The sequence below is a fragment of the Homo sapiens genome, chromosome 1 (genome assembly GCF_000001405.40).
Source record: "Homo sapiens chromosome 1, GRCh38.p14 Primary Assembly".
NCBI classification, from domain to species: Eukaryota; Metazoa; Chordata; class Mammalia; order Primates; family Hominidae; genus Homo; species Homo sapiens.
In genome coordinates, this window is record NC_000001.11 from 148,015,302 (window position 1) to 148,035,184 (window position 19,883).

At 43.7% G+C, this 19,883-nt stretch overlaps 1 protein-coding gene and 1 non-coding gene across 6 annotated transcripts in view, besides 1 other annotated feature; both read left to right on the forward strand.

Moving 5' to 3' along the window:
- GPR89B (G protein-coupled receptor 89B) overlaps positions 1-10,633 on the forward strand; it is a 97,515-nt gene extending 86,882 nt beyond the window's left edge. For 2 of the 5 annotated variants that reach the window (NR_183757.1, NR_183756.1), the window contains 5 exons: positions 860-957; positions 4,636-4,907; positions 6,613-6,697; positions 9,229-9,418; positions 10,476-10,633. The gene's annotated coding sequence lies outside the window, so the exon portion shown is untranslated. Of the gene's footprint in view, positions 1-859; positions 958-4,591; positions 4,908-6,612; positions 6,868-9,202; positions 9,419-10,475 lie in introns of all 5 variants that reach the window. The other 3 variants (NR_183758.1, NR_183755.1, NR_183759.1) reach the window with 3 other exon arrangements.
- Positions 10,634-17,488: 6,855 nt separating this feature from the next.
- On the forward strand, positions 17,489-17,560 carry TRQ-CTG3-2 (tRNA-Gln (anticodon CTG) 3-2). Its single transcript has one exon. It is a non-coding gene; the product is annotated as a tRNA-Gln (tRNA).
- Positions 18,094-18,865: an enhancer, noted in NCBI's record as "H3K27ac-H3K4me1 hESC enhancer chr1:145963909-145964683 (GRCh37/hg19 assembly coordinates)". NCBI's record gives its function as "activates a minimal SCP1, AML or CMV promoter by ChIP-STARR-seq in primed H9 embryonic stem cells {active_cell/tissue: H9 hESC(primed)}" and the evidence as "EXISTENCE:reporter gene assay evidence [ECO:0000049][PMID:30033119]".

Sequence of the window (19,883 nt, forward strand, 5' to 3'; positions counted from 1 at the left end):
TCTCTCTCTCTCTCTCTCTCTCTCTCTCTCTCTCGACGGAGTCTCTCTCTGTCACCAGGCTGGAGTGCAGTGGCGCCATCTCGGCTCATTGCAACCTCCGACTCCCTGGTTCAAGCGATTCTCCTGCCTCAGCCTCCCGAGTAGCTGGGATTATAGGCACGCGCCACCACGCCCAGCTAATTTTTGTATTTATAGTAGAGACGGGGGTTTCATCATGTTGGCCAGGATGGTATCAATCTCCTGACCTCGTGATGCACCCGCCTTTGCCTCCTAAAGTGTTGGGATTACAGGCTTGAGCCACCGCGCCCGGCCTTCTCTCTATTTTGTTTGTTTGTTTGTTTGTTTGTTTGTTTACTGTCATTCATTTAGCCCTTTCCATACGCTTTTGAAGTTAAATTGGTTCTGTGATTTTATGATTACATATAATGTTCTAGTCATTCTTGTACGGGCATTTTCGGCGTTTTCAGCCACTGGTGTATTTCTATAGGATAGAGGTGCAATTACTATAGGAAGAGCAATTACTCCATCATAGTGTTCACACGGTTTTTATATCATTCCATTCTCTCTCCTCTGTTGGCTTATTAGCTATAACTCTTTCTTTTGTTACTTTAGTAATTCCCTTAGGGCTTATAGCAAACCTTTTTAACTGAACACAGTCAACCTTCAAGTGATATTAAACCTCGCCTTCTGGCCTTGAAGTTATTGCTGACATGTACTTTGCTTTTACGCATGTTATAAACCCACAACCCATTGTTATTGCTTTTGTTTAAATGGTCAAACTTTTACAAAAGAAATTTACAAAATAAGAAAATACCTAGTATAGTTACCTATTTCTGGTGTTCTTCATTTCCTCATGTAGATCTGGATTTTCATCTGGTATTGGATTCCTTCTGCCCGGAAGACTCCTTTGACGTTTCTGTAGTGTGGGTCAGCTGGTAGTGAATTCGGTCAGCTTATGTAAGTCTCTAAATGTCCTTACTTCACTTCCAGTTTTGGGAATTTATTTTTTCTGGCAGAGTATTCTAGGTTAACTTCCTCTGCCCTCAGTACCTTAAAGATGTTGCTTCTCTGTCTGCTCCCATTGCATTGCTGCTCCCAGTGGGGGCCGGCGAGAGCAGAAAGAAAGTTGATGGCAATTCTCATCTTTGTTCCTGTGTAGGTACAATGTCTTTTTCTTCTGGCTGGATTTCAGCAATGTTATTATGAGGTATCTAGCAGTGGTTTTCTTCATGTTTCTTGTGCTTTGGTTTCCTCAGCTCCTTGGGTCACTGGATTTATAATTTTCATTATGGTTGGGAACTTTTCAGCTATTGTTTCTTCAAAAATTGGCTGGGAACAGTGGCTCACACCTTCAGGAATCAGGAGGTGTTGAGTGAGGCCGGGAATTGGAGACCAGCCTGAGCAACATACTGAAACCCCACTCGTAATAAAAATAACAAAGAAAGAAAATAAATGCTTCCTTTCCTCCCCGCTCCTTTTCAGGGACTCACATTACTCATAAATTAGGCCTCTTAAATCTGCCCTACAGTTCACTGATAATCTTTTCATTTAAAAAAAAATCTTTTGTCTGTGAGTTTCATTTTGCATATTTTCAATTATTCATGGTTCCATATTCCCTGATCATTTCTTCTGCAACGTCTAATCTGCTGTTAATCCCATCCAGCGAATTTATCATCTCTGATATTTTGGTTTTGTCTTGCTTGCTTGCTTGCTTGCTTGCTTGCTTGCTTTCTATCTTTCTTTTTCTTTTTCTTTTTTTGGATGGAGTCTCACTCTGTCGCCCAGGCTGGAGTGCAGTGGCGCGATATTGGCTCACTGCACCCTCCGCCTCCTGGGTTCAAGCGATTCTCCTGCTTCAGCCTCCAGAGTAGCTGGGACTACAGGTGCGTGCCAGGACACCCAGGTAATTTTTTGTATTTTTAGTAGAGACAGGGGTTTCACCGTATTAGCCAGGATGGTCTCAATCTCCTGACCTCGTGATCTGCCCCCCTCAGCCTCCCAAAGTGCTGGGATTACAGGCGTGAGCCATTGTGCCCGGCCTATACACAAACTTTTGTATTAGAATAGAAAAGTTGAGAAGGTAGTTCACAGAATGGAGTAAAGAGGATGAAATGGGTTTTTGGAAACCATTCACATTTTAAAGTTGTTTTAGGCCAGGCGCGGTGGTTCATGCCTGTAATCCCAGCACTTTGGGAGGCCGAGGTGGGTGGATCACGAGGTCAGGAGATCGAGACCATCCTGGCTAACATGGTGAAACCCCGTCTCTACTAAAAATACAAACAAAAAATTAGCCAGGCGTGGTGGCGGGCACCTGTAGTCCCAGCTACTCAGGAGGCTGAGGCAGGAGAATGGCGTGAACCTGGGAAGTGGAGCTGGCAGTGAGCCAAGATCGGGCCACTGCACTCTAGCCTGGGTGACAGAGCGAGACTCCGTCTCAAAATAAATAAATAAAATAAAATAAAATAAAATAAAATAAAGTTAACACCCCTCACCCCCAAAGAACAATGTGTGTTCTCCCCAGACATCCCTTTATTAAAATATGCAGAGAAAGTGTAGGATAAAAGAGCATATGCTAAACTCCTCAGAATGTGTGTCTGGAAGTGGACAGGGGAATGGGAGTGGGATGAACAGAGAAAAGAAGGAAAGACAGTAAGGGCCTTGCTGAGAGCAGCCACCATAATGTGCCCTGAGCTAAGGTACATGATTACCTTCTTCCTGTGCACCTGAGATCTAAGAGAATATATTAACAAATCAGGGATATGGAATTTCAAAAACACTATGGGAAAACAACAAATTTACCCAAACAGAACAGTCTACTTAAGAAAGGCAGGAAGAGGCCGGGCGCGGTGGGTCATGCCTGTAATCCCAGCACTCTGGGAGGCCGAGGCGGGCGGATCACGAGGTCAGGAGATCGAGACCATCCTGGCTAACATGGTGAAACCCCATCTCTACTAAAAATACAAAAAAAATAGCCAGGCGTGGTGGCGGGTGCCTTTAGTCCCAGCTACTCCTGAGATTGAGGCAGGAGAATGGCATGAACCTGGGAGGCAGAGCTTGCAGTGAGCCAAGATCATGCCACTGCACTCCAGCCTGGGCAACAAAGTGAGACTCCGTCTCAAAAAAAAAAAAAAGAAAGAAAAGAAAAAAAAGGCAGGAAGAGATTTTATAAACAAAGCAAAAACACAGAAATCATACAATGAGGTGGTGGGAATGAGACTAACTATGCCCATCATCTCCAACATAACACTAATTACTGCTAATTATAATGGATCTAAGTCTCTCATATTGGATAGAAAAGGAAATGTGGACTCTAATGGTTCAATGGCAGAAAAGGGTTAAATATTCAAAGCAGTGCACATTATTATTATTATTATTATTATTTGAGACAGAGTTTCACTCTTGCTGCCCAGGCTGGAGTGCAATGGTGTGATCTCAGCTCACCACAACCTCCGCCTCCCAGGTTCAAGCAATTCTCCTGCCTCAGCCTCCCTAGTAGCTGGGATTACAGGCATGTGCGACCATACCCAGCTAATTTTGTATTTTTAGTAGAAACGGGGTTTCTCCATGTTGGTCAGGCTGGTCTCGAACTCCTGACCTCAGGTGATCCGCCCGCCTCGGCCTCCCAAAGTGCTGGGATTACAGGCATGAGCCACTGCACCCAGCCTATTATTATTATTATTATTATCATTATTTTGAGACAGAGTCTCGCTCTGTCACCAGGCTGGGGTGCAGTGGCCAGATCTCGGCTCACTGCAACCTCTACCTCCCAGGTTCAAGGGATTCTTCTGCCTCAGCCTCCCGAGTAGCTGGGACTATAGGCACGCGCCACCATGCCCAGCTAATTTTTGTATTTTTAGTAGAGATGGGGTTTCACCATATTGGCCAGGCTGGTCTCGAACTCCTGACCTCGTGATCCACCCACCTCGACCTCCCAAAGTGCTGAGATTACAGATGTGAACCACCACACCGGGTCAAAAGCAGTGCACATTATCTTTAGCAAGCTAACACAGAAACAGAAAACCAAACACCGTGTGTTCTCACTTATAACTGGGAGCTGAATGCGAGAACACATGGATAAATGGGGTTAGGGGGCAAGGACAACAGACACTGGAGCCTGTTGGAGGGTGGGGGTTGGGAGGAGGGAGAGCATCAGAAAGAGTAGCTAATGGATGCTGGGCTTAGTACCTGAGTGATGGGAAGATCTGTGCATCAAACCACCATGACACAGGTTTACCTGTGAGACAAACCTGCACATCCTGCACATGTACCCTGAACTTAAAATAAAAGTTGGAAATAAAAAATGTAAAAAGGAAAGAAAATAAACAACAACAACAAAAAGAACGGTGCAAATCTATACCACGCTCATTAGAAACAAAAGAATGAGAGTGAAAACATGAATATCCGACAAAAGTAAACAGCAAAAGAACGCTTTATGTTAACTAGAGGAGTAATATCCTAGCATCTACCTAGAATCAAATGGAACTGTTTTTCCCTGAACTGGCCTCCTTGGGTGGCCGACCAGGGCCAGGTGAAGAGAAGAATTCTGGGAGTGAAATGTCCATTTATTCCCTCTTGTTTTGGTCTCTGTAAGGCATAAGAAGTTAAAAGCAAGATCTGATCCCTGGTGTTTTCCAGGAACTCAAAAGAGGTGTAGGAGGAGAGAAGCTCAATTATCACCCTGGTCTCCTGGAGTATCCCAGGCACAGTCCCAAGAGTTCAGCTTTTCATACTCGAGTTCCTGGGTCCTGAAGGCCTTTTTGGGGAAAGTACTGATGTTCGTGTCAAGGTTGGGAAGAAAGGGTTTGGGAGGAACCAAGCAACAGGGAGGCAAAGAGAAGACATCAACAAGCGAGGCAAGAACTTTCCACAGGCTCACACTGGATACAGGACCAGAGACAAGAAGCTGGGTGAGTTTCTGATATTTTCCTACAGAGGTTTGTTATGCAGTTGCTTCAGAGCCTACTCAGAATAAGGCTTTTTCAAGTCAGCTCTTTTAATGTGAAGCCATAACTTTGTGGTATTGCCTGATGGCAATTCTCCACTGCGAGCCATTGCTCTAGGTGTCTTTTTTGTTTGTCACATCTTGCAAAGAGAACACGGTGAAAATCTTGACTCCTGTTCCCAAGTCTGTGTCTTAACTCTTTCCAAGGCTGCACAGCTCGGGGTCAGGAGGCGTTGGCAGTTCAGTGGTAGAATTCTCGCCTCCCACCCGGGAGACCTGGATTCCATTTCCGGCAAATGCAGCGTCCTGTCTTTGTGCCCTGTGGGTTTTACATTTACTTACTGTGCCGCGCTAATAAAGAAAAAAAAGGAGGGGAAGGGGGGAACTACTGTATAGTCCTTGGGTTCTTTCCGTAGCGGAATTTATTTTTCTTTTATTTATTTATTTTTGTTTGTTCGTTTGAGACAGAGTCTCTGTCTGGCCCCCCAGATTGGAGTGCAGTTGCACGATCCTGGCTCACTGCAACCTCCACCTTCCAGGCTCAAGAGATTCTCATGCCTCAGCCTCCCAGGTAGCTGCGATTACAGGCACGTGTCACCATTTCCTGCTAGTTTTTGTATTTTCAGTAGAGACGGGGTTTCACCATGTTGGCTAGGCTGATCTTGAACTACTGACCTCACATGATCCACCAGCTTCGGCCTCCCAAAGTGGTGGGATTACAGGCGTGAGCCCGGGCCCCGGAGAGGAATTTATCTAAGCCGAGACTTTGCAGAGACTGTCTTTGAAGCAGCCAGTGGGTCTGCTTGGTCTCTGCGTTTCTACGTATTTGGCCCTAAAACCGGCGCGACTTTTATCGTCTCTGCTGTCGGATCCCTGCAATACAAAGAGGTACCTGGTCACTGATTCTCTACTTGGACCTTGGATAGACCATTAGACCACATCTCGCGATGGAGTGCGGCTCAAGAAATGACATTCCCGGCCGGGCGCGGTGGCTCACGCCTGTAATCCCAGCACTTTGGGAGGCTGAGGCGGGCGGAGCACGAGGTCAGGAGATCGAGACCATCCTGGCTAACATGGTGAAACCCCGTCTCTACTAAAAATACAAAAAATTACCCGGGGGTGGTGGCTGGCACCTGTAATCCCAGCTACTCAGGAGGCCGAGGCGGGAGAATGGCGTGAACCCGGGAGGCGGAGCTTGCAGTGAGCCGAGATCGCGCCATTGCACTCCAGCCTGGGTGACAGAGCGAGACTCCCCGAAAGGAGAGAAGCTGTGGGGTGGGGCGGACACAAGCAGTGGTGGGGAACTGGGGCCCAGGGAAAGGGGAGGCATGTGAGGAGGAACCCGAGTGCAGATGAGGGGAGCTGCGGAGAGGGGCCTCGGACCTTCCTGTCGAGGAAGGCCCAGTCTTTGGTGGTCTCGGCAAAATGAAGAATGGGCCCCCAGTGGAGAGCAGCACGTCCCCAAAACTCATTTCTATCACCCCTGTTTGTTTTACACTCCACCAGGCAAATCTTCCGTCCACAGGATTCTTTTTAATACTTCTCTTTAAGCAGTGTGGTGGGGAGGCCATGGCAATCATTAGCTCTGGAGGCCTGAGGAGGACACTCTGAAGAGGAAAGCCCCGCGATCATCCGGTTTCACCCCTGTTTTCATCTACTCTTTTCCTCAGCGAAGCCTATATGGGTTCCCGATGTCACATCGCAGCTACCGCATTGGAGGGTTAAGAGCCGCTGACAAATCTCTTTCGGGAAGGGGTAAGAAGCGCAGCTGGCCCAGAGCCATGGAGAGAGACGCAAGAGCAGAACCGAAAATACTTTTCTCCATCTTGTTTTCTCTCTGCTGTCGGTGAACATTAACCTTCCACACACACCGGGTCAATACTGCCTTGGTCTCTACAGGAGGTTTACCATTTTTTACAGTTCCCGTAAGCCATGTTTTCTTCTCGCTTCTACAGTTCTTCCAGGATTGAGTTTCAGGAGCTGGTCAGCAGTCCAGGCTAGTTCAACATCCTGGTTCAAAATCGTTTGTCTGGTTTTGCTACTAGGGTGAAGCTTGCCTCCTAGACCAGAGTTAAGACGTGTTCCCTCGGCTTCTGTTTTCTAGAGAGAATTGATATAGTTTCTTCCTTAAGTGTTTGGTTGTGAAACCATCTAGACCTGGCGCTTTGTTCTGGAAGGTTATTAATTGTTGCTTCAATTTCGTTAATAGATAGAGACCTATTTAGTGTATCTATTTCTCCTTGTAGAGTTTTGGTCAACTTTATCTTTCAAGTAGTTGATCCAATTCATCGAAGTTATCAAATTTGTGAGCAGAGAATTGTGCATAATAGTCCTCTACTATGCTTTTAATGTCCACGAGATCAGAAGTGAGGGTCATTGTTTTCTTTCTCATATTAGTAATTTGTATCTTCTCATTGTTTCTTGGTTCACCAGCTAAAGGTTTATCAATTTTATCGGTCCTTTCAAAGAACACTCTTCAGGTTTTTTTGACTTTTTTCTATTGATTTCTGGTTTTCAATTTCCTTGATTTCTGCTCTAGTGTTTATTGTTTCTTGTCTTCCACTCACTTTGGACTTAATTTGCTCTTGTTTTCTTTGAGTTTCCTAAAGTGTAAGTTTGGATTATTGATTTTAGATCTTTATTTGTAATATTTAATTTTTAAAATCCATGATTATTTTACTTTCTGTGCAGTAATTTTTTTAGTGTACTATAATTTTTGTTCTTGTTAAAATCTCAGTTTTTTGTTGTGTACCAAGGGTACAAGTGTAGCATTGTTACATGGGTATATTGGGTCCAGGTAGTTCGCATAGTACCCAATAGCTAGTTTTTCAACCCACTCTCCCTCCCTCCCTACCTACCTCATGGTAGTCCACAGTGTCTATAGTTCTCAAGTTTATGTCCATGTGAGCTCAATATTTAGGTCCCATTCCTAAGTGAGAACATTCAGTATTTCATTTTCTGTTTCCGCATTAGTTTCTTCCAGATTATGGCCTCCTGTTCTATCCATGTTATTGCAAAAGACATGATTTCATTCTTTTTTATGGGTGTGCAGTATTCCATGTTGTGTATGTACCACATTTTCTTTATTTAATCCACCATTGATGGGCACCTAGTTTGACTCCATGTCTTTGCTATTGTGAATAGCCTGGTGTGGTGATCATAGGAGCGCATGTGTCTTTTTGTTTTAATGATTTACATTCCTTTGGGTATATACCCAGTAATGAGATTACTGGTTGAAAAACAGCTCTGTTGTAGGTTCTTTGAGAAATCTCCAAATTGCTTTCCACAGAGACTGAACTAATTTACATTCACTCCAAGTGTTTATATGCTTTCTCTCCACAGCCTTATCAGCATCTGTTGGTTTTTGACTTTTTAATAATGGCCATTCTGAGTGGTGTGAGATGGTATCTCATTGTAGCTTTGACTTGCATTTCTCTGATTATTAGTGATGATGAGCATTTATTCCTGTGTTTGCTGGCTGCTTGTATGTCTTCTTTTAAGAAGTGCCTGTTCATGTCACCTTGCCCACTTTGTAATGGGATTATTTTTTTTCTTGTTGATTTTTTAAAGTTCCTAATAGGTTTTGGACATTAGACCTTTGTCAGATTCACAGTTTGTGAACATTTTCTCCCATTCTGTAGGTGGTCTGTTGACCCTGTTGATGGTTTCTTTTACTGTGCAGAAGCTCTCTCATTGAATTAGGTCCTACTTGTGAATTTTTGTTTTTGCTACAATTGCTTTTGTGGACTTGGCCATAAATTCTTTGCCACGTCTGATGTTGAGAATGATATTTCCTAGGTTTTCTTCTACACTTTTTCTGCTTTGAGGTCCCAGTATATATTGTGTCATTGCAAATGACAACCAACCACAGACTAATCATTACAAGCCAAGAAAGGGAACTTATTGGTGACCAGGAAAAATGTCCAACAAATGAAAATTAGTAAAAGACATTCCTGGGTGTCTTTTTCTGTAAAGTGTGGGGCATTGTTGTCTATAGAGTTCAGCAAACTTTTTCTGTAAAGGGCCAGGGAGATAGGAAGTATTCTAGGCTTGTGAGCCAAGAGGCAAAATTAAGGATATTATGTAGGTGCACATATAACCAGGAAGAAGGCAAATTTCTATACCATTTTCATTGATGAGATTCTAAACTAACAATAGTAACTGAGTAGAACTTCTCAGGTGGTAAATGTTCTTTGCATTGAGAGCCTAGGCTCAACTTTCCTAGGCTCCCTGGTACAGCCCTCCCTTTCCACCCCTCAGGCTGTTTCCCTCCCTGTTTTCCTCAGAAGAAGAGTTCCAAACAAAAGATCTACTACCCTGAGAAGCGGTGAAGTGCTCCTGGGGCCCACCAAGGCCACACAAGTCAAGGAGTGGATGGCCTTGCCCCAGCTATGGCTCAGATCACCTTTGCAGGATGACATCTTGTTGGGAGATGGTCATCAGAGACAGGGCCATGGAAGACGCTGTCAGGAGGAGGTGAGAGGACTGGTGCCCAGGGGGAGAAGTGGCCAAGCACCTCTGCATTCAGCCTCACAAAAATCTCAAGGGGATGTAGAAATGGGGACAGGGTGAATGGAAAACTCAAGCAAGGTTTTGGGGCCCTGAGCTGATCTCTGTTTTTCTTCCTACAACCTGCAGCACATGCTATTTTCTCACCTCTGTGGATGGAAACACCATCCTTCCGTATGCTCAGTCTAAAAATCTTTGAGTTTTCTTTGACTGCTGATCTTTCCTTCACATCCTATAGCTGTTTAGTCAAGAATTCACATTATGCTGGGCAATCAGGTGTTGTCCTTAATCGACACCATCCTTTTCACCCCCGCCCCCAGTTAATAAAACTTGTAAAGTCATTCTCCTGATAAAGACAATAGGATTTCCATGAAATTGCACAATTTTAATCCTTCCTGGATGCATGACTCAAGTAAGAGCACTGCTTTTGTTTACTACCATTTTCCCCTATTTTTATTTCATACCTGTTTGACCCGCACTCTTTCCCATAAGCCAGGCACTTCGGCTCAGGTGTGCTTTCCTAATTGTAGAATGAGCAATAATAGCAGCCTTGCTAACAACTTCTTCCTGGCCCCACCACCAGGCAAATGTCATAGGATTTAATAGGTAAAGAATCATAGGATTGCCAGGCGCAGTGGCTCACACCTGTAATCCCAGCACATTGGGAGGCCGAGGCAGGAGTATCGTTTGAACCCGGGAGGCAGAGGTTGCGGTGAGCCTAGATCATGCCACTGCACTCCAGCCTGGGCAACAAGAACTAAACTCTGTCTCAAAAAAAAAAAAAAAAAAAAAAAAAAAAGAATCTTAGGCTCGTCCCTATTGCTTGGTGTTATAAAATGAATTGTTTTCCCCTGAATTTATATGTTGAAAGCTTAACCCCCAACTTGACTGTATTTAGATATAGAGTCTTTAAGGAGGTAATTAAGGTTAATTAGACCATACAAGTGGGGCCCTAATCTGGTCAGAATGGTGTCCATATAAGAAGAGGAAGGGCATCAAAGAATCTCTCTCTTTCTCCACACAGGCACAGAGGAAAGGCTATGGGAGCACAAAGCAAGAAAGTGGCCTTCTGCAAGCCAGGAAGAGAGGCCTCCCCAGAAACCAACTCTACCAGCACATTGATCTTGGACTTTTGGCCTCTAGAACATTGAGAAAATAAAAGTCTGCTGTTAAACCACCCAACCTTTGGTATCTTTCTATGGCAGCCTGAGCTGACTAACACCCTTGGTAGGTGGGCAGCATTCACCTTATTGGGCTACATGATGAGAAGTTAAAGTAACTTTAGCAATAGGCACCATTTGATTTCATTGTATAGATATTGTGTCTTTTGCACTGATTTTGCCTTTTTTAGTTGTGTGTATATTGATGCCTGGGCCTAGCATTACAAGACTAGTCGAAATGGGAAGAAAGAAAAGAAAGTGGGAAAGATACCAAGTTCCATAATTGCATCCTCTACCCACATCCAGTTCTTAGAATCTTTTCCAATGGAGACTGCACCTTGTGTACACTCAAATTCAATCTGAGCGCACAATCATTTAGACAACCAAGGCAACTTTTCCAATTTTCAGCATCACACGCTTGGGAAAACAAGTATTTCAATCACTAATTTAAATATTCATTGAGGTAATTATTCTGAGGTTGATGAAAAATATGGTGTATCCATGTACTGTTGCCTTCTCCTGGGTCAAGAATGTTGTCTTTACTCTGCTGGCTCACATTTGACCAGAAATTGGAGTCCCAGCAAATCTTACTAGCCACTCAGGAAGCCTATTTTAAGATAGTCCCAATCTCAAACTTGTTCTAAGACTTGTATGCTGACTGAGGAGAAAGAGCCTCATGACAAAAATTCAACTAGAGCTGTGGGTGACAGTTGTGTGTCTCACTACTGGTCTGGGCCCAGGTTTCCCGTGAGCACCTAATGAATAGACTCAATTGCAGGGATCGTCAAGATGCTCACTATGTCTACCTCATAGCCTCAAAAGAAGTGATAACTAACAGAATTTGTGTAGTATCCTGAAGGGAAATTAATCCAGATATAGAGGAAAAGATAAGGATTTTTTAAAACAGACATGTGATTCAACAGTTGTTTAAGATGCAGAAAGCTGTAAGAGACAGTTGTTCCCACTCTAATGACAAGAAAAAGCTGTATGGTCTGCAAAATCATACGTGCTTTGATCCCACCAGAGAGCTGAAGTTGCAAGGCCCCTGAGTCAGCTGAAGTCCAAAGCGTGAGAAAACCCCCTATAGAAGGACAAACACATGAAGCAGTTCATCTTTGACAGATAATGGAAGGAAAAGATGGCAGCCATAAATGTTCATTGGAGAAAATCACTGAAGATTTCATCATTTCTTAAAGGCCAAGTGTGAACTATTGTGACAGATTAGAAACTCTGAGAGTCCCAGATACATAGCATGGTTTTGCCCATTTGCTGGGTCCTTCCTCCCACGTCCTTAGTGCTGACAAGACACATGTAACAGGGAAAGAGGATTTCTCAAGCTTGCCACAGTGGCGTAGGCATAAAAGTCATGATCACATGATCGACCACCACCAGAGTACAGGCACAAAACCTGGTTGCTTCTCACATAAAACAAAAGGCATCTACCACTGATGTTGGAGCTAGGAACTCGTCCAACCCTTGGCCCCAGGGATAGGGCAACTGCTGAGGTAGGGTTAGACAGAAAAACTGTCTGTATTGGACAAGGGGAGGAGACTTGCTCTTGCCCAAGACTTCCCATCATTGAAAGGTAGTGTTCCGCTACCCCAAGGGGATGTCACAGGAACACTAGGACCCAGGTATCCATGGCCTGAGGCTTGATACACATTCAGTGCAATCAGTAATGTGAGTTGGTTTCGACCAATCATTTGAGTTGGTTGCAGACCCTTTCCTCTAATGAGGAAAAACTGTGGTGTGGGTACAAAGTTTCCACGTTCAGAAAGATTGGCCTTGTCCTTACAGATATTATATTGATTGGATTTCTCTCAACCTCCTTAAGTTATGTTTACCATTATTAAAATTAAGTGACATTCACTTGGAAGAAGTGGTAATACAAACAGGTTGTGAGAATTTATAGTGATTTTTGATCCCAAGCCTTGTATCACTGTTGGGTCTTCATGTGTGTACTTGAAAACAAAACATGTACAATTGTTGCACTGGTTTGAAGATTTTAATGGTGGAAGTGACCTAATCAGTAATCAGTACTGTATCTAGAAACGAATCTTGGAAATATGTGATTATGCTCTTTTAAAATCGCTGAAAAGAAGGCTGGGTGTGGTGGCTCATTCCTATAATTCCACACTTTGAGAGGCTGAGGTGGGCAGATCACTGAAGGCCAGGAGTTCAACATGGTGAGACCCTGTCTTTACTAAAAACACAAAAATCAGCTGGGCATGGTGGTGCCCACCTGTAATTCCAGCTACTCGGGAGGCTGAGCAAGAGAATCCATTGAACCTTGGACTCGAAGGTGGAGGCTGCAGTGAGCTGAGATCCTGCCACTGTACCCCAACCTGGGTGACAGAGGGAGATTCTGTCTCAAAATAAATAAATAAAATAGCTGAAAAGAAATGACAGTGTGTTTACTCTCACTTTGTTCTTGTTTTGTTGTATAGTATTTAAATAAAAGGAGATTATTTATCCTCATACTGAATTTCCAAAACTGATATTTGCATTTAGCATTTTGTTAAATGATGGAGAGAAAATTTAATTGTCTTACTTTGAAAAGTTTGGCATAGGTTCTGTCACACATTTTGTTAAATGATGGAGAGAAAATTTAATTGTCTTACTTTGAAAAGTTTGGCATAGGTTCTGTCACATTTTTGATGCTTTCGATCACAGTTCTGTCATTAGAATGCTGGCAACTAGTTATATGCAAGGAATATCCTAACCACTTTAATACAATGGTTTGAAGTGCTGCAGGCAGTAACTACTGGACAGCAGATCACAGTGACATGAGAGAGAGAAATAGAACTTTCTGCAGTACAAATGTCCTGTGAACTAATCCTTGTGCTATTAGCTTACAGGTCTTAGACTCCTGGGTCTGAAAAAGGCACATACTTCTGCTAAATCTTGAATACTGATGCCAATGAATGCCTTGTCTTCAGACCCTGGGGAAGATGACAATCAAAATGAACTTCTTCCATGAGACACGGAACCAGAAATTGAAACCATTCCATCCCTCTAGGCCCAACAATCCCACATGCACCCTTTTCCACCTCATGCCCCCTCTTCCTCTGGACAGAAGAGGTGGGCACATGAGAATTTTAAGGCTGGAGTCTGAGAGATAAGTTTAGTTCAGAGACTTTCTTTTCTTTCCCTCTTTTCTTCTCTTTTCTTTTCTTTTCCTTCCTTCCTTCCTCTCTTTCTTTCTCTTTTTTTTTTTTTTTTTTTTTTTTTTTTTTTTTTTGGTAGACACAATGTTTCACCATATTGCCCAGGCTAGACTCAAACTCCTAAGTTCAAGTGATCCACCCACCCTGGCCTCTCAAATTCAGAGATTTTTCTATAAATTAGACTTTACACTCAGAAACACACTGATGCAAGGCCAGCAACTGGGCCCGTGTATCAGAATAACAGGGTTTTCTTGAGCATTCATCTGCTTTTTCATAGAAAAGTATAAAAGGTCATGAAAGGTTTTTGAAACTCTTACCTTATGGTTGAACTGATTATAATTAAATTTGTGTATAAGGTTTCATTAAAATTAGCTTTAACATTTTAATACATCACACAAAGGCAAAATTTGGTTTTCTCTTGATCAAAATGTTTGTGTAATATTAATAAAAATTATTAATTATTTTGAAAAATTTTTTAAAAATTTATTTTAAATTTTATTTTAAAAAATAAAAATTATTAATATTAATAAAATAAAATATTTTTGTTTACCTTTTGCCTAAATGATTGACTATTTTAAGGTGACCTGTGATTCTATTTTGTGATATCAAGTCTCTCAAAACTTTGGCTAACTTTCTAAGAGTAAAATTTTCATATTGAGCCTTTTGGGCCTCAAATTAACTTTTTGGATATTAGGTTCTTGAAGTCCAAGAGAGATATATTAGGCTTCTTAGGCTTATTTGTTATGTAGAATTCTGCAAGAAGCATTGTCAAATCTGAGGTGGTGTTTCACTTCCTTTGGGTTCTATTGACACAGATGTGTTGTTAATGTGTGTTCCAGGATAGTATGAGATTCCTAGAGTTCTGCTATGCTGTCAGTAATAATTATGATTATTATGTTAAATTGTGTGTGCCACAGAAGCAACAGAATTCCCTTGTCAACTGTGTCTATAACCATGGCTGTCTTAAGGCTTTTGTTATCCACAATTGTTGTTTTGCTTTGATTCTTCTCAAAAAGTGACTTATAATCAGTTACAGTCCAGGCCTTGCTTCTTTGGGGAAGTCCACGAAAAGGACTCTTGGATGCAGGTTTCTGATAACTTTGGAGATTGTGCCATTGAAGTAAAAAGAAAATTTCACCCAGGGCACTAATAGAAAGGCTGATATGTTCATAAAGATTGCTAGCCCACTATGAAGCAGAGCAGGAGCTGATTGTATGGACTGAACTAATGGAGGACTGAAGTAAGTTTTTATGGTCTTTGTTTGTTTGTTTAAAACATTGTTTATTCTTCAAAGCCTGGAGAACTTTTGTCATTTTGAGCTATTTATAGCCTGCAACAATTGAGTAGAATAGTCTTCTAAACAGAATTTGAGGCATATTTTTCTCTCTCTGCCGAATTTCTCCAGAATTTGTAAACTGAATATTCTTAACTCATGATGATGTGTTTGTTTGCATAAGTTCAATAAGATTCTGTTTTCTTTTATAACAGGACACAGGTGGAGGAACTGGTAATCTTCTCAGGGCTTTGCCTGAAATGGTGTTGTGAAATGTTCCAGCAAAGCCCATTTAGGAGAGCCTATATGGACAAGGATTCTTGCTGCACTTTGTGTGGGTAATCAGGCCAAGTATATGGGACTGAAGCTTCTTTTGCAGGTAGGTTGGTCCTGCTGTGTTTTGTCTTTAGTGGAAATGGGGAACTGGACAGAGGAAGATTGTGTTTCAGGAGAAACTACAGTATTAGATGAATGTTTGATTCCTGGGTGGCCATGCGGTCACCCATGGTGTGGAGCTGCTCAGGATGCCCCTTCTCCTCATGACAAAGCCAGAAAGATGCATGACCAGATTCCCCATGATTGAGGAACTGACAAATAGAAAGTGGGGACTGAAATCGACCCAATAGTCCCACATACAGTGTTTTTGGATAGACTTAAAAATGGACCCTTCTGGTCTTAAAGCTTGAAACTTACATTTGTTTTATCTGAGTTCCTTCCTCAGGAAAGGACCCTCAGCCTCTCAAAAAGCATCATAGACCTGAAACTCAGCAGATCACAGCATCCAGACAATGACTTGCCAGTCCCTTCACTCATCATGAGTGCTTCCTCACCCTTCCCTAGTTCCTCTTTCCCACACACAGTTACGTTTCTTCCCTGCTGTATAAACCCCTCGTTTTAGTTGATCAGGGAGATTGATTTGAGACTGATCTCCCATCTCCTCAGCTGCAGCACCCAATTAAAGCCTTCTTCCTCGGCAATACTCAATGTCTCAATGATTGGCTTTCTGTGAGCTGAGCAGCAGGGCCTAGACGGAACTCCTGGGCTTTCAGTAACGATGCATGTACACTTTTAAACACTGCAATTAATGGGTCATGAGATATTGAGAAATTGGAATGGCATCAACTTGGCCAATTCTGAGAAAACACACTGTGCTTAAATGTCAGGGCCCTGCCTCCTGACCTCGACAGTATATGGTTGATTTTGAGTCATAGCAGGTGAGTATGGCCTGGTTTCAGTGTTTTATAGAAATATAAAATATGGCTGATCGCATTTATTTTAAATCCAACAAATCTCCATTTCTGGTGAGAAAATTTTTTTAAAACCAACCAAACAAACAAACATAGAAGAATATGAATAAAAAAATAAGGGATTCCCTGCTTCCCAATCTCACTTGATTGCTGTCTTCTGTTATATACTAAGGGAGGAAGGGGGCAAGGTGCCCAGGAAGTCCCACGTCCTGTTTTGATAATCATCTGGCCTCCTTGGGCAAACAGAAAACAGGGAAAGCATAAAGAAAATAACAGAAATTTTGCAGAAATTTCATCTCCGGTCTGGGCGCAGTGGCTCACGCCTGTAATCCCAGCACTTTGGGAGCCCAAGGTGGGCAAATCACTGAAAGTCAAGAGTTCAAGACCAGCCTGGCCAACCTGGCAAAACCTCATCTCCACTAAATATACAAAATTTAACCAGGCATGGTGGTCCACGCTTGTAATCCCAGCTACTGCGGATTACAATCACTTGAACCCAGCAGACAGAGGTTGCAGTGAGGGGAGATCGCCCACTGCCACTGCACTGCACTCCAGCCTGAGCAACAGAAGGAGACTCTGTCTCAATGAAAAGAAAGAGAGAGAAAGAAAGAAAGAAAGAAAGAAAGAAAGAAAGAAAGAAAAGAAAGAAAGAAAGAAAGTGAGGGAGGAAGGGAGGGAGGAAGGGAGGGAGAGAGAGGAAGGAAGGAAGGAAAGAAGGAAGGAGGGAAGAAGGGAAGGAGGGAGGGAGGGAGGAAGAAAATGAAAGAAAGAAAGAGAAAGGGAAAGAAAGAAAGAAAAGAAAGAAAGAGAAAAAAAAAGGAAAGAAAGACAAGAAAGAAAGAAAGAAAAAGAAAGAAAGAAGAGAGACAAAGAAAGAGAGAGAGAAAGAAAGAAAGAAAGGAAGAAAGAAATTTCACTGTGGCACAGGAAACTCTATGACCGAGGCTTCAAGGGCTCTTCTCTGGCCCTAAACTCACAGTGGATTTTGCCTCATTTTCCGAGGTGCAAATGAAATGATGGAAGTCGATCAAAGGAGAGGGCAGAGAGAAAGCAAGAAGGATGGCTCCTTCCTGCAGGTCCACCTTCCTCGAGTGTTGCTTGTGGGATAATAGAAATGCCTTGACATGGTTGAGTGGGAACTATTGCTACTTATTGGGAATTCAGACGCTTCCGGCAAACTTGCACGATGAGGTTCCATGGTGTAATGGTGAGCACTCTGGACTCTGAATCCAGCGATCCGAGTTCGAGTCTCGGTGGAACCTTTCTGTTTAATTAGGACGGCAATGTTGTGTTTTACTCCCTAAATGGAATGGGGATTCCGCTGACGTTCAGAAACTCTGCGCTGTGGGCCTCCGTGTCCCTTCTGCTCCCGCTGTCTGAGCCTCGCGATGTACCCCGCGCTCCTCGTCCCCTCTTCGTCTCCCTCTTCGGTGTTCGGGGTCCCAGAAACCGGGTTCTCGCAGTGGCCCGGACCACAGGGAAATTGCCGAGTCATCCAGTCGGGATCAGCGAGCCTGCAGGGTCCCCTTCCTGGGCGAGCCTCCTGGCACCCAGCAATCGGAGGCCCGGACACCCCCGCCAGGGACCCAGCGACCCAGGAAGTCCCCACCCCCTCTCAGAGCGACCCTGGGCCTCGGGCTGACAGGTCTCCTCCACTAAAAAGGCTGCTGCCCCTCTATCCTAGACCCCGAGATTCCTTTCACTCGGGAATCTCCTAATGGCACCCATTGTCTTTTTGGTAAGTAAACGGTGGCGTGAGAAATTCTGATGGGGTTAGCTCAGTCATTGGAGAGTGTGTCTCAGTTTAGGATCGATGGTTCCAGACCTAACTTGGCAGTAGCACTGCTTTATTCAGATGGCCCATCCGATTCCGAATGTTAATTTGCTCTGTTCTTCATATTCAGATTTTTATGCCGAATTTCTAGCTCCTGCGTCTCTATTGCGGGCCCTAAAAGTCGCTGTTTCACTAAGCTTTGGAACCTGACTCCGGGAAATCTCATTCTTTCGTCCCAAGATCTCAGCCAGAAAGAGAGATCCGCGCGGCGGCATCTTCAAGCGCGCGGGCTGGGAGCGCGGGTTCTGATCCTGGGTCGCCCCGGCCGAGCTCCCTCAGGGCCACGGGGAAGAGGAACCTGAGCAGCTCTGAGGGGCGAGTCTCTGAAGATGGGGCTCCCCCTTCTCCCGTCAGGACCCTGCCCCAAGGAGAAGACGCCTTAGTTAAAAATGTTTTCTCCTGCTCTTCAGAGCACTTGGGATGAGGTTCCTGATGGGTCTTGGGAGCGAACTAAGATGTCACTCCAGGCGCTCAGGACCATCGCTCTCATTTTCATATTTTGGGGCTGAGAGCGGTTACGAAGGACTGAAAAATACCGCAGTCTTTGAGGGGCTCAGTTTGGAGGACGAGCCGGGGTTGAGGGGGGTTGACGCCTTGGCTCCTTGGAGTGGACTGGCAGGTAAGGAAACACAAACTCCGTTTCCCCTTGCGGGCAGAACTGCAGGACCTGGGATGGAAAATTGGACAGTCAAAGAGTAACGATATTTATGTAGAGGTGGGTTGCGTGCATTAAAAATTGTTATCCCTACAGATAAGTGTAGGAAGGGACCAGGGCACTGCTGTTCACCACCAGCTTTGCAGCATATGTAACTTTGATAACAGTGTATAGTGCATAAAAATTCATTCCTGTTTACAAATATTTGATCACAACCAGTTACAGGTTTCTTTGTTCCTTCTCCACTTCCACTGCTTCACTTGACTAGCCCTATAGGAAAAAAGAATCATTCTTAAATATGATATTGTTTCAGTTGATCGCCAGCCCACCCGTTCCCCTCCCCCTGAAAGTAGCTGGGACAACAGGTGTGCACCGTGTGCTGGGCTCATTTTTGTATTTTTAGTAGAGATGGGGTTTCGCCATATTGGCCAGGCAGCTCTCGAACTCCAGAACTCAAGTGATCCGCCTGCCTGGGCCTCCCTACACCTCCCTGCTGGGATTACAGGCATGAGCCACCCCACTTGGCCATCATTTGTATTTTGAATTTAAATATTTTGTAGTCATCACTCTTCAAAGATTCTGGGTTTTGCTGCATGTGCATGATGGGATTCAGGACATGCTACTCCAAAGTATAACATCTTGGGGTATTGAATATTTTATGCTAAAGGAATATGAGTAAACCACAGAAGCAGGAAGGTCACTGTCACCCTCCCCCTGCCCTTCCTCCCTGAAGTCCAGTATAAGACTCTTATGTGAGAGGTGCCCTCTCTGTACCCAGAGGAAAGGTGCATCCTTGATTCTGAAGACACAGGGACACAGAGAAGAGCCTGAACACAGAGGCCTGGCTACCTTTCCCCCACTTTGTTACTGTTAGATCATACTTTTATTGACTTATCATACTTCTCCATGACTATTCATTCTTGAATAAACCTACTGTTAAAAAAACGAAAACAAAAACTGAGGTTTAGCTGTTTCCATGGGCCTTCATTTCCTTTGGAAGGCGTTCCTGTCATGTAAAATTTACATTAAATAAATCTGTATGCTCTTCCCTTGTTAGTCTGTGTTTTGCTGTGAGGGTCTCAGCAGCGAACCTAGG